The 15,421-nt window shown below is 41.0% G+C and overlaps 1 protein-coding gene across 17 annotated transcripts in view, besides 1 other annotated feature; it reads right to left on the bottom strand.

The window, feature by feature from the left end:
• RBPJ (recombination signal binding protein for immunoglobulin kappa J region) overlaps positions 1–15,421 on the bottom strand; it is a 329,683-nt gene that overhangs the window by 95,151 nt on the left and 219,111 nt on the right. The window lies entirely within an intron of this gene.
• Positions 8,740–9,034: an enhancer, noted in NCBI's record as "tiled region #12863; HepG2 Activating non-DNase unmatched - State 14:Gen5', and K562 Activating DNase matched - State 8:EnhW". NCBI's record gives its function as "activates a minimal TATA promoter and a strong SV40 promoter by Sharpr-MPRA in HepG2 and K562 cells {active_cell/tissue: HepG2 | K562}" and the evidence as "EXISTENCE:reporter gene assay evidence [ECO:0000049][PMID:27701403]".

Below are 15,421 nucleotides of genomic sequence, written 5' to 3'. Positions count from 1 at the left end.
ATGGCGTGGTCTCACCTCACTGCAACCTCCGCATCCCGGGTTCAAGCAATTCTCCTGCCTGAGCCTCCCAAGTAGCTGGTATTACAGGCAACCGCCATCATGCCCGGCTAATTTTTGTATTTTTGTAGACACAGGGTTTCACCATGTTGGCCAGGCTGGTCTTAAACTCCTGACCTCAGGTGATCCGCCCACCTTGGTCTCCCAAAGTACTGGGATTACAGGCATGAGCCACTGCCTGACCAGAAGTGTTCTAATGTAACTTTTTGAATGCTCTTTTTCTCACTGATTTGGAGTGTTACTTTTACACACTGTATGTTACAGAGGTTTTTTTTGTTCGTTTGTTTTTTGAAACAGAGTCTAACTTTGTCACCCAGGCTGGAGGGCAGTGGCACGATCTCAGCTCACTGCAAACTCCGCCTCCCAGATTCAAGTGATTCTCCTGCCTCAGCATCCCGAGTAACTGGGATTACAGGCGGCCACCACCACACCCAGCTAATTTTTGTATTTTTAGTAGAGATGGGGTTTCACCATGTCGGCCAGGCTAGTCTCGAACTCCTGACCGCAAGTGATCAGCTCGCCTTGGCCTCCCAAAGTGCTGGGATTACAGGCATGAACCCCGGACTGTTAACAACGAAATTGAAATCTGGAGATACGGGTTTGAATTCCAATTCTCCTACCAACTCGCAGGTAAACTTGGTTAAGTTTCTGTAAAACAAGGTAATACTACCTCCCTCACCAAACTATGGCAAGGTCTGAACGCAACTAGAGACCTCCTGGGTACTAAACACCACGTTCAAGTAACAGATTATATTTGAAACACACAATATAATTATATTTGAAACACACAATATAAAAATATAAGGCTGGCACAGTGGCTCACACCTGTAATCCCAGCATTTTGGGAGGCCAAGGTGGGCAGACGGCTTGAGACCAGGAGGTCCAGACCAGCCTGGGCAACATGGCAAAACCCCGTCTCTAAAAAAAATACAAAAAATTAGCCAGGCATGGTGGCGCACAGCTGTAGTTCCAACTACTCAGGAGGTTGAGACTGCAGTGAGCTGAGATCGAGACAGAGTGAGATTCTGTCTCCAAACACACACACACACACCCAACTTTGCCAGGCCTCACACCTGTAATCCCAGCACTTTGGGAGGCCGAGGCAGGTGGATCACGAGGTCAGGAGTTCAAGACCAGCCTGGGAAAGATGGTGAAACCCCATCTCTACTAAAAATACAAAAATTAGCCGGGCAGGGTGGCAGGCACCTGTAATCCCAGCTACTCAAGAGGCTGAGGCAGAGAACTGTTTAAACCTGGGAGGCAGAGGTTTCAGGGAGCCAAGATCGTGCCACTGCACTCCAGCTTGGGAGGCAGAGTGAGACTCTATCTCAAAAAAAAAAAAAAAAGTTAGAGCCTACATTATGTAACACACACCAAAACAAACAAAAAAGCCAAACTTCCAGAAGGGTTAAAGAGATACACCGATTTTTAAACTATAAAAGAGCACATGGAAGAAAAATACATGTAAGAGGCCGGGCGCAGTGGCTCACACCCGTAATCCCAGCACTTTGGGAGGCCATGGTGGACAGATCACGAGGTCAAGAGATTGAGACCATCCTGGCCAACATGGTGAAGCCCTGTCTCTACTAAAAATACAAAAATTAGCTGGGCATGGTGGCGCACACCTGTAGTCCCAGCTACTCGGGAGGCTGAGGCAGGAGAATTGCTTGAATCCGGGAGGCAGAGGTTGCAGTGAGCCGAGATTGCGCCACTGCACTCCAGCCTACCAATAGAGCAACACTCCATCTCAAAAAAAAAAAAAAAAAAGAAAGAAAAATACACATAAGAATGTTTCCATAATGTTAGGGTGAGGAAGATGAAAAAAAAACAACAAAAAAACACAAAGCCAAAAGAAAAACTACAAACCTGCCTACCTAAAAATTTTAACTCCTGTATGACAAAAAATAAATAAAAATGAATGACAAATGAAAAACTAGGGAAAAAACCATAGAATTGACAAAAGTAATATGTGGAAAATAAAAGTGCTTATATACAAAATGAGAAAAGACATAAATGAATAGACAGCCTGGGCAACGTGGTGAGTTGCTCTCTCTATCAAAAACTTAAAAATTAGCCAAGCCTGGTGGCACATGCTTGTGGTCTCAGCTACTGGGGAGGGTGAGGGAGGAGGATTGCCTGAGCCGATGAAGTTGAGGCTGCAGTGAGCTATGACTGTAGCACTGCACTCCAGCCTGGGTGACAGAGTGAGACCCTGTCCTTCAAAAAAAAAAAAAAAAAAAAGGATAAAGAATTATAAGTATATATTTCACAAGGAAAATACAAATGGCCAATAACCTCATGGAAAAAACAGTGATTCCACTTAAAGGTATCAAGATATTGGTTACCTTCACACATGCACAGATATGTTTGTGGCAGCAGTATAAAAAAAAAAAAAAGTTGGAAACAACCTCAAAGCAGCCAGTAAGCATGGGGAGCCACACCTGTGGATAGCCAGAGCTACAGAAGAGATACTGTTTAACCACCCAAGCAACAAGAAGAACAATATGCTGCTGAATTGGTATAATTCAATTTATGTAGAGGAAAGGAGGACCAACAGAAGGACAGATGGAAGAACAAGATTAAAAAAGATTATGTACGCATTTACATGCATTCAATAGCCATCTAAAAAATACTATGCATCAAACACTAAACAGGCTGGGTGCGGTGGCTCACGTCTGTAATCCCAGCACTTTGGGAGGCCAAGGCAGGAGGACGACCTGAAGTCAGGAGTTCAAGACCATCCTGGCCAACAGGGTGAAACCCTGTCTTTATTTAAAAAAAAAAAAAAAAAAAAATTAGCTGGGCATGGTGGCTGTCGCCTGTAATCCCAGCTACCCAGGAGGCTGAGGCGGGAGAATCGCTTGAACCCGGGAGACGGAGGATGCAGTGAGCAGAGATCGCCCATGGGCGACAGAGCGACACTCAGTCTCAAAAAACAAACAAACAAACAAAAAACGCTAAACAAAGACCATCAGGGGCAGAAGCAAGGAAGCACTACGCTACCATTTAGGCTTTTTTACAATATATTTATAATTTAGGGAGGTGGTAAAAGTTATTTTTAACTTTGAAAGGATAAATATACCTTAAAATGTTAATGTGTTTTGGTAGAATTACGTTTTTTCCTTTTTATATTTTGTTATTTTTGTTATCAGGAGAAAAAAACTACATATACAGTGTTTTAAAGAGAAAAACCTACCCATATCCTTTAATGTATGTGAAAACATCAAAAGCTTACTTAAATTTCTAAAGAAATTTTTTTTTTTTTTTTGGTAAAGAAACAAGGTCTTGCTCTACCACCCATGCTAGAGTGCAGTGGTTTAATCACAGCTCACTGCAATCTCAAACTCCTGGGCTTAAGTGATCCTCCAGCCTCAGCCTCCCAAGTAGGTAGGACTACAGACACACGCAACACTTGTTTTGTTTTGTTTTGTTTTGTTTTAAGAGATGGGGTCTTCCTATGTTGCCCAGACTGGTCTCCAACTCTTAATCTCCAGCTATCCTTCCTCAGCCTCCAAATCTGCCATCCAGCAATCCTTCCACCTCAGCCTCTGGGATGGCTGGGATTACAAGCCACAGTACCTAGATCTCTAAATAATCTTTCATAGAAATAGTAACCATAACTCTTCCTTTCTCAATGCAAGAAACAGACATGAGCATGTCAAGAAAAGAACTAGAGTTTGGAAGGAAATTTACCCCATTGTAAACATGCATGCATATCTCTGGGAGCTGGGATCTAGCGAACTGTCTTACTCACTTTGCATCGATTTAGCCTACAATTAATATGTATTTGTCTGATGATATTTAGACAGGATTTTAGGGTAACACTGGCAGCAGCATAGCTTTCCAATCTCTTCCCACATAAAAGAGCCATAACTAAGATAGCAAAATCAAAATCTGTGGGCACCATTTACAACAAAATTAGGTGACCAGATCCCCCTACAAACCCCCAAATACTCACATGCAGAACAAACACCAAAACTACAGACTAAAGAAGTAAGCATTGCCGGGCGTGGTGGCTCATGCCTGTAATCCCAGCACTTTGGGAGGCCGAGGCGGGTGGATCACAAGGTCAGAAGTTCGAGACCATCCTGGCTAACACAGTGAAACCCCATCTCTACTGAAAATACAAAAAAAATTAGCCGGGCGTAGGTGGTGCATGCCTGTAGTCCCAGCTACTCAGGAGGCTGAGGCAGGAGAATGGCGTAAAACCCAGGAGGTGGAGGCTGCAGTGAGCCGAGATCGTAGCACTGCACTCCAGCATGGGAGACAGAGCCAGACTCCGGCTCAAAAAAAAAAAAAAAAAAAAGAAGTAAGCATATGTGGGCTGGGGAAGTTGACATGGCTGTGACAATAGTCTATGAGATGAAGCAGCCTGGAGAGTAAGGCAATGGCAGCGAGCAAAAAGAAGAGAACGCAGAATATCTGATAAGAAATAATGGATGCAGGCCGGGCACGGTGGCTCATGCCTGTAATCCCAGCACTTTGGGAGGCCAAGGCGGGTGGATCACGAGGTCAGGAGATCGAGACCATCCTGGCCAACATGGTGAAACCCTGTCTCTACTAAAATACAAAAAATCAGCCGGGCGTGGTGGTACACGCCTGTAGTCCCAGCTACTCAGGAGGCTGAGGCAGGAGAATCACTTGAACCCAGGAGGCGGAGGTTCCAGTGAGCCGAGATCACGCCACTGCACTCCAGCCTGGGTGACAGAGCAAAACTTCATCTCGAAAACAATAATAATAATAATAAGAAAATAAGAAAAACTGATAGTGGGAGGAAATAAGGAAGTTACTGAAGTTAACGTTTACCTGTGGCAGCCAGATGGACAACAGCACTATAACAGATATCAAGTCTATTTTATAGGATGGTATCACAGATACAGGTGGTAAAAAGAACAAGTTGTTTTGGAAAAGGCAAGTTTAATGAGCCTGCAGAACAACCAGTAGGAATTTTTAAAATGCGAATCTAAACATCCACACTAATGACACAGACATAAAGTCAAAGAATACAGCAAGAGGAAGACAAAAACTGCAAATCACAATACTTAAGATTGGAAGAGAAGTAGCAAAGAGAAGATGGAATAATCAAGAAGTGGAGATAGTAGCTTGTTAGTCAAGAATAAAGACATAACATAACAAAACAAAACACAAGATGCAGAAAAATGAAATAGGCTGATGACTGAAATGAGGTTTGGGGGTCTGGTAAAAGGAGGTTATTTACTGATGGCCTGGGGTGAAAATCAGGTTTTAATATGTAAGCATAAGGGAAAATAAAAACAAGACCAAGTCAAGAGATGAATAAAAGGCATGGCAGTAGCTTGAGTTAAGAAAGGAAACGGACGTTAAGCAATCCTTATAGACCAGGCCTAGTCTTGCAGCCCCTTTGCATACACACGTTTGATCCTCAGAAGAATTCTCATGTATGCTCTCCTTTGTACAAAAGGGAAAACTTAAGTTGCAATGCAATTAAGTAACTTGCCCAAGGCCACACAGGATGTATACAGAATTTAAAAACCTAAAAATTGGTCTGTAGGCAAAAAAGGAATATTAGAAAAAAAAAAAGAAAATACAAAGCAGAAAAGTTGGGCCAGGCATGGTGACTCATTCCTGTAATCCCAGCACCTTGGAAGGCCAAGGCAGGCAGATCAACTTGAGGTCAGGAGTTCGAAACCAACCTGGCCAACGTGGTGAAACTCCACCTCTACTAAAAATACAAAAATTAGCTGGGCATTGTGGTGGGCGCCTATAATCCCAGCTACTCGGGAGGCTGAGGCAGAAGAACTGCTTGAACCTGGGAGGCAGAGGTTGCAGTGAGCCAGGATAGCATCACTGCGCTCCAGCCTGGGCGACGGAGCGAGACTCCATCAAAAAAAAAAAAAGAAAAGGCAGAAAAGTTGGATTAACTGATAGAACAACATCCCAGGGATGCCCTGACAAAATTATTTTAAAAATTATGTCCGAGCCATGTACAGTGGCTCACAACTATAATTCCAGCACTTTGGGAGGCCAAGGCAGAAGGATCGCTTGAGCCCAGGTGTTGGAGACCCTGTCTCTACAATAAAAATAAAAATTAGGCAGGCATGGTAGTGCAAGCCTGTAGTCCCAGCTACTTGGCAGGCTGAGGCAGGAGGATCACTTGAGCCTGGGAGGTCGAGGCTACAGTGAGCTGTGATTTTGCCACTGTATTCCAGCCTGGGTGACACAGTAAGATCCTATCCCAAGAAATAAATAAAATTAAGCCAGGCACAATGATGCATGCCTGTAATCTCAGGTACTCAGGAGGATGAGGCAGGAAGAATGCTTGAGCCCAAAATTTCCAAGTCTGCCTGGGTAACAGAGTGAGACGTCCATCTCAAAAAAAAAATTTTTTTTAATTTAAAAAACTTTTTAAAAATGAAATACAAAATTTTTACCTAAAGATACATTACGCTACTTCAGAGAAACTTTGAGCCCAAAGACTAGTCTAATCAAGTGTAACTTTAAAAATAAGTTTATTTCCTGGAAATTCATTTAAAGTAATCTAATAGATAGAGATACCACTTCCCTCACATTGTAGTTGAGGACTGAGTAGATATTCAACAAAGTGTTAGCTCCCTGGCACCTTTAATATTATGTTTGCAAAACTACTGAAATTTTTAAAATAGAATCGAATGTCAGCGTTTCCATTTCTTTAAATTAAGAAATATATCGTTGTTCCTTGGTATCCGCAGGGGATTGCTTGCAGGATCCTCCCATACATCAAAATCCACACATACTCAAGACCGGCAGTCAGCTCTCCATATACACTATTCTTGCATCCCATGAATACTGTATTTTCCATCCAAGTTTGGAGGAAAAAAATCCACATATAAGTGGACCCACTCAGTTCAAATCTGTGTTGTTCAAGGGTCAAAGGTACTCCCAATTGTTAACAGTGATTATTTCCTGGTATAAGACTATAGTGGCTCACTTTACACAATATACTTAAGTAACTTTTGAGGCCAGGCATGGTGGCTCATGCTGGTAATCCCAGTGCTTTGGGAGGCCAAAGTGGGAGGATCACCAGAGACCAGCAGTTTGAAACCAGCCTGGGCATCACAGTGAGAGACTCCGTCTCTACAAAAAATACAAAAATTAGCCAAGACTGGTGGCGAGTGTCTGTAGCCCTAGCTACCTGGGAGGCTGACATGGAAGGATTGAGTCCAGGAGTTTCAGGCTTCAGTGGGATATGATGGCACCACTGCACTCCAGTCTGGGTAGCAAAGCGAGACCCTGTCTCAAGAAGTAAATAAATAACTTCTGAATTTCTTATAACAAACATTACTTTTCCAACAAGAAAAATAATCAAGATGATTATTTTATACAGATGTGAAATCAATTAATTTCTAAGAAAAATTTCCATATCAAGATGGTCATTTCCCTGAAATAACTATGAAAACAAGCTAAAAATTAAATAAATGCCTTTTAAATTACATTAGAATTTAAACAAAAATGTATATGGTAGCTTAGGTGGACAGCTGATTTATTTGTATTTAATTATTTAAGCAACTGACAATTTCCAGGACTTAGGGTACCTAAGAAACTGCTGTTTAAGTAAATGACATGTCAGTAAATCCTGTGTGCAAAGTGTACATATCACATTGAATACATGGGAGGAAGGCCAGGACAAAGAATGGCTTACTTACCAATAATTATGAAATAACCTCTGAAAGGTCTTTTTTTTTTTAACATTACAATAGTGACATGGCAACTCCCATTAATTAGTAATATCCATTTAATCAAATAATGACACTCATTATTATAAGCTGTAAGTAAATTACCATATACTATCACTTCTATCTTGGGAATGCTGAAATTAATTCACTTCCTTGACATGTGGATAAGCATGGATGACAGATACAACAGACTTAATGAATCCCATAGTCAAGAGAATAATATTGCCTTGGCATATACACTAGAAAAAATTCACTACACACATCATCATCATGTTCATAAACCAGATCATCTTTCAGTATAAAATTTCAAGTTGTAGCCTCTCTTCTCTGTATGACAGCCTTCTTTCTTTTCACTCTCCTCTGTCCTTCCATCTTCCCTTCCAGAGGCTGTGGAAACAGCCAGCTGCAATTTATTGCAGGTGGCATAACCAAGAAGCTAGAGAGAAAAGAGGCAGAGACTGGAGTAAGCCAGAGGTAACTGCGTCCAGCCAGTTCTCGAGTAGGAGCAACTGAAGCAGAGTGGATAAGGAGGTGTGCAGTGAGGAGGACAACTATGTTCCTGAAGAGGCCACCTGGTCAGTTAGAAATACAAGACAAAGATCATAAGCAGCACCAAAAACAGGAACACAGCAAACGAGGAAAGAGCAGGCAGGCTCCGAGCTGACCATTTAATGAAGCAACACTGGCCGCCGCACTCTACCCATCAAGGCTTGGGTGCTGAGGGATTTACAGTCTTGCTCTAAGTCTGCACATATGAGAAAAAGGGCTATTTTTTAAAAATGCATGTAACATTAAAAGGCAGCTGAGTGAGATAAATAGAAAGGTATGGGAAAAAAAAAAACATAACGTTGGGTACAGGGGTTCACACTTGTAATCCCAGCACTTTGGAAGGCTGAGGCCGGCAGATCCCTTAAGCCCAGAAGTTTAAGATCAGCCTGGGCAACATGGAAAACTCCGTCTCTACAAAACCCAGCTAGGCATGGTGGCGTGCACCTAGTCCCAACTACTCAGGAAGCTCAAGTGGGATGATTACGAGCTCGGGAGATTGAGGCTGCAGTGAGCCATGACAGCACCACTGCATTCTAGCCTACGTGACAGCAAACCCTGTTTCAAAAACAAAAGACTAACACAGGCCTTCCCCTCCCCCTAAAACAAACCAGGAACTAGCTCAGTCACTGAATGTGTCTCAGCCATTATCTAACCTGTCTGTGTAAATGAATGGGTACTTTTAGAATATATGATTAGTAAGGTCTTCTCTGGCTCTAAAATTTCCTGAATCTAATGGATTTAATAATATATATCACACGTGTCACACAGGATGTAGTTACCTTTCTATGTTATGTAAGTTACCATTAGATGGTATGTTACTTCTCAATAGGAAGAGTACAATACAAATAAGAGCACACAGAATCATAGCCTAGCATCAGTACACACCACGCTTCATCATCGTTCATCAAATCCTCTGAGAAACAAATCCTCACAATATCTTCCTTTAAAGCAATTTACGCAGTCATAACAACAAAAAACAATGCCTAAAATCAAACCATCATGCCTCACTTTAAGCACATTGAGAGATGGGGAAATGTGCTTTGTTCACTTGTGAATTTCATTGAGCTTCCATTCTGCTTCTTTCTACAGGACATATTCTAAAGGCATTACACTTTTCTAATTTTCAACAGTCTAAATGAGTTTTCTATATGATATGTGTTTCATATTCCACTTCAAAAAATATAGGTACAGAAAAGGCAAAAAAGTGAATATAATCCGGGGGTCAGTTTCTACGTGGGTTTCTAGGTAGAAAAACCTATCTATGCTGAATGTCAGCTTTATCAAGACCAAGAGCCACCTAGTGGCAAGTGTTATATATTACCAAATCTGCTCAAGCCATATTCATCCAGCAAATAACATTCTGGCAGATGGTAGGTGCTCCACAATTGTGCAAGGTAAGTAAAATAATTGCTCCTTTTCTTATGAAGCTCACTGACAGATTAAACAATCAATTACAGATAAATTTATATAATTGCAGAACAATGTTAAGTGTAACAGAAGTATGCAAAAATAAGCATCCAGCATTTATTAAAGACCTACAATAAGCACAACACTTTGTTAAAAAGGTTCTCTTGTATCTGTTCACCTTACTCAGAACTTTCCCTTTTCTGATTATTTTATCACCAGGTTTTAATTTCAGGTTTTTTCCTACCCTCCCTTCTGAAGGGGGTGTACCCCACTCCCATCTTACCCTTTAAATTCCACACTTCAGAAAAGGGGTAAGGAGAACCTATTTATTGAGCACCTACTATTACCAGAACCAAGCTAGGCATTTTCTTTTTTTTTTTTTGGAGACAGAGTCTCACTCTGTCGCCCAGGCTGGAGTGCAGTGGCGTGATCTCGGCTCACTGCACGCTCCGCCTCCCGGGTTCATGCCATTCTCCTGCCTCAGCCTCCCAAGTAGCTGTGACTACAGGCGCCTGCCAACACGCCCAGCTAATTTTTTGTATTTTTAGTAGAGACAGGGTTTCACCGTGTTAGCCAGGATGGTCTCGATTTCCTGACCTCGTGATCCGCCCGCCTCGGCCTCCCAAAGTGCTGGGATTACAAGCGTGAGCCACCGCGCCCAGCCGGCCCAGTAGGCATTTTCTATCTCTTATTAATCCTCACATCAATACCATGAGGTATTATTTTCTTCCATTTTTTAGACAAAGGAAAAGACCTAGCTTAAGTGAAATGCTCATAGCCACAAACTTATTTTAGTGACTTACAGTACAATTATTCCCAAGTTCCCTACATCACCCTGCCTCAAAAAGAGCTTCTTGGCCTATTCATTCCTAGGCCCACCACCAAAATCAGATTTTGATTATATTTCTCTTATGGTGTCCACCAATTCCAATCTATTTTACACTGTTTACATCCAGCCCTACCTCATCTTAAAACCCTCAATGCCGCCAGGAACGGTGGCTCATGCCTGTAATCCTAGCACTTTGGGAGTCTGAGGCGGGTGGATCACCTGAGGTCAGGAGTTCGAGACCAGTCTCACCAACATGGAGAAACCCCGTCTCTACTGAAAATACAAAATTAGCTGAAAGTGGTGGCGCATGCCTGTAACCCCAACTACTCGGGAGGCTGAAGCAGGAGAATCATTTGAACCCGGGAGGCATATGTTGCGGTGAGCCAAGATCGCACCATTGCACTCCAGCCTGGGCAACAGAGCAAAACTCCGTCAAAACAAACAAACAAACAAAAACCTCAATACCTTACCCTTGTCCTCTGTATCCCTGATTAATATTCAAATAATCACCTTAGGCCATCCATAATCACACCACATTGGGAGACCAAGGCAGAAGGATCACTTGAGCCCGGGAGCTCTGGACCAGCCTGGAAAACATAGCAAGGCTGTCTGTACAAAAAAAATGTTTTAAATTAGCTGGGGTTGCTGGCGCACACCTGGGTTTGGTGGCACACACCTATAGTCCTAGCAACTGGGGAGGGTGAGGCAGGAGGATCCCTTGAGCCCAGGAGGTTGAGGCTGCAGTGAAGTACGACTTTGCCACTGTATTCCAGGCTGAGCAACAGAGCAATGAGACTGTCTCTAAAAAACACCAACCAGCCAAAAAACCAAATAATCAGGTTAGCACTCAAGGTCTTCCAAGAGGCTCCCAATTACTTTTCCAGCTTAATTTCCCATCACTCCCTATCAACTCTCACCTTTTCTATGAACTCCAAATGAAGATAATCATTTACATCTGTGTTCCCACCAACACTAAATATCGGTTACAGCACTTACCATAATCTCCCTTACACAATAATTACCTGTGTACACTCTACCAAGTCATGAGCTTCACCAAACCATTTCTTAGCCATCTTTATAGGACCAGCACAAAGAGTGTCTTATACCTAATAAGTGTTCAACTGCTTATTTAATAAATATATTGTTATTAAAACAATACTAAAAGGAGAGCCACTAAAGCATGGTTATACTATTAACATTTTCCTTAACACCCCTCCTACATGTCTTAGGACCCCAGTGTTTCTGCTTACTCCAAATGGTGTATGGATTAGGAGCTTTGTACAGATCTAGGTAATTTTTTGCATGAAAAATGTTATCAAATTAAAAAAAAAAAAAGATGTGAAAAAACATGCTGGCAAAATCAGGCACAATCTTTGCAGATCTGCAGTTTTCCAAAAGGGAACATATACCTTTGTTCTATTTATGCAAACCAGTCTAAAGCTAGTTTGTACTGGAGGAAATTAAGCTATGTCCATAATAGACTGTTCACATTATTTTAAAAAAACTACAATATTACATTTATATTTCATAAAGCAATACTGTACTTCTATAACACAATATCATACTTATAAAAAAGTTTTATAGAGTGAAAAACTTTTTTTTTGAGACAGGGTCTTTCTCTGTCACCCAGGCTGGAGTACAGTGGCATGATCACCATTCGTTGCAGCCTCAAACTCCTGGGCTCAGGCCATCCTCCTACCTCAGCCTCCCAAAGTGCTGGGATTACAGGCCTGAGCTACTACTGCGCCCAACATTAAATATTTTTTCTCCTGTTATGTAAACTTTTTATGAGAAACTACTCTTATCACTTACAACTCTGATTATCATCTCATTAACAATGCACAGATAATCATTAGCTCTTAGGCTAAGACTACTGAATACAAAAAAAAAAAAAAAAAAAAAAAACCTCCAGGGTCAACTTGATTCTCTAGTGTATTCTGCTTCACATCAAATAGATGCAGTTTTCATTGCAAGGCTTTTGCAACTCAGAATGCATTAAAAAAATGTGTTTTCTATATTTTATTTTTTGTAAACTTAAAATAGTATAAATATTCCCAAGATTGCCGTAAACTTCACCAATATGACTGAAAAGCTCTCAAACTTACCATTATGCATTGTCTCAACACAACAAAATTACACAAATATCTATACGGATAGGTAATTACTACCACTTACAGTGCCTGTGACGCCTTCCCCAACCTCCTACAGTAAATATGACATGTTCGGAAATACATTACCCTTTTTAGACCATTAGGGTATCATTTAATTCCCTTAAGCAGCAGGTCTAATGAGGCATAAGCAACACCATGATGTTGTGCCAGGCCTAAGAGGCATACAGAACTGTGGGCAGGATAAGAGTCTGAGAGATAGTAGCAGCTAGACATTCAACATTCCTACATTGTTACAGCTGCCCAAGCAGAGAAGAGAGCAGTAAGAAATAGACCCCAAAAAGCTGGGGGTGACTCAATGACAACATTCGTGGTCAAGCAGTAATTTAACAAATATGTCTGCTTAAAATGCCAAAGCACATATTTCAAGGGTTGCGGTCCTCTGCACCAAATACATTGCTGCCTTCCTAAAACATGACCCACAAAACCACAGCTTGCAGTATAAAAAGTCCATCTTGAGCCCTGCTCAAGATGAAAGGTTACCAGAGGAAACTGATTCTTATAGTAATTAAAATATTTGTATAGAACGCTTTACTGTTTACAAGTCACTTACACATACACTGTTTCATTTGACCTTATTTCACAAAATTTACCTTATTTGACAGTCACAATGTGCCTGACAGATAAAATATAATTATCATCCCCTATTTTATAGAGGTAGAACCTGAAGCTTAAAGAAATTATCTGTCAGTAATATGTCCATGAGACCTGAGTCTCCATGTAAATTATCAACTTATTATTTGGTTCTATGGCATGGATTCCCCAAAAAGCAGTCTACAGTGTTCTACGGTTTAATCTAACATACATCCCTAGCCATCTAGTACTGAAAACAGTTAAAAATAATGGAATCTTTTGATAAACACTGACAGCCAATCATATAAAAAACAAAAGTGAAATTTAAACTTGTCAGTTTTATACAAATATAATGTAGTATTTTCTAATAATCAAAAAAAAAAACTTTTGCCTAAGAGCCTTACTATAATGTTCTCAGGGGCTATGAGATTGCTTGTGGCTGAAAATATCAATTCCTCTGGGTACTTCAGCAATTACTCCTTACAGAACCAAAGTCAAATACCTATATATAAATTATACATATATATGAATTAGACACACATATACTGTATACACACAAGCACACACACAATTTTAAAATTGTGCCACATGAACCATGTTGCACCAAGATTTCAAAGCACTGAGTCCTATGTTCAAAAATTCTTTTTGCTGAGTCTCTATCATGTGATAGACAATCTTCTAAGTATAAGAATATAAATGATACCTGCCACCAAGTGACAATATTTGGGTGTGATAATTACAACTTAGTATCATGCTTCCAAGAGAATTATATACAGCATTTAATACTGTATTAAATATACAGTATTTATACAGCCAGGCACCAACTGTAGTCTGGTAGATCTGGTTAGAATATTCCCTTAGTCTTGAGAAATAACCTACTAAGGATCATTACTTTTCATACACAAGAACGCATTAAACTGCTGGGCTCATGCAGAGATGTCAAAATACTTTAATATGACTGAAGCACTGATTATGGAGAGAAAATGGCAAACAACTCAGCTGGAGAAGAGACAGATGAAATAGTTATGGAGGATCCTATGCGCCACAGTAGCTAACATCTTTTGAGCACTTGCTACATGCCAGGAATTCTGCTAAATGCTTTCATACATTATCTCATTTAATCTTCACAACAACTTTCTGAGTTAGGAATAATTATCTTGCAATTGATAAAGAGATTAACTTGTCAATGTTACAGGGGTTTTAACTGGCAGGGGTTTTAAGTGCCAGAGACAGAATTGGAACCCAGTTCAGATTAAACACTAAATGTGAGCTCATAACCCTCCACTCTGTTGCCTCTCTTAATGAACGCTGCTAGGGGGAGCCATTGAAAGGTTTTTAGATTAAGCAGTGATCAGATTTGCTCTTTAGAAAGACTGCTCTGCTACATGTAGAAGCTGGATAAAGGTGGTGACTCTAGAAGCAGAAAGAGGCTGTCAGTACGTCATAGTAAACCAGGTGAGAAATGACAGCATGAACTTCGGCAGTGAGGATAAGGGAAACAAATTCAAGAGATTTTTTAGAAGGAAAAATGATCAGTTCTCAGTAATTAAATGTAAAGGCTGGTGAGAGAGGAATTAGGAATCGTGGCTTTGGGAACCAAACGGAATATGGTATCATCTACCAAGAACAGAGAAGCAACAGGTTTCATTCAGTCAATACGTATCTACAGAGTGCTCCTCAAATGCAAAACACTTTTCTAAGGCCAAGAGTCAAATCTGAAATTATAGTCATGGTTATTAGAATTTATTCTTAAGAGCAAATAACAAAGCACTAAAAAATATAAGGCATATTTAAAATTAATCACTGCTATTAACAGACTTGGCTTAGAGTCCAGTGAAAGCATGTTGTACTACCATTTGTTAAATATTACTACATGCAGGCCAGGCATGGTGGCTCACCCCTGTAATCCCAGTACTTTGGGAGGCCAAGGTGGGCAGATCCCTTGAGGTCAGGAGTTTGAGATCAGCCTGGCCAACATGGCGAAACCCCATGTCTACTAAAAATACAAAATTAGCCAGGTATGATGGTGTACGCTGGTAATCCCAGCTACTCAGGAGGCTAAGGCACGAGGATCGCTTGAACCCAGGAGGTGGAGGTTGCAGTGAGCTAAGATTGTGCCACTGAACTCCAGCCTGGCCACAGAGTGA

Source organism: Homo sapiens, chromosome 4 (assembly GCF_000001405.40).
Source record: "Homo sapiens chromosome 4, GRCh38.p14 Primary Assembly".
NCBI classification, from domain to species: Eukaryota; Metazoa; Chordata; class Mammalia; order Primates; family Hominidae; genus Homo; species Homo sapiens.
This window is presented reverse-complemented; position numbering and strand designations above follow the sequence as displayed.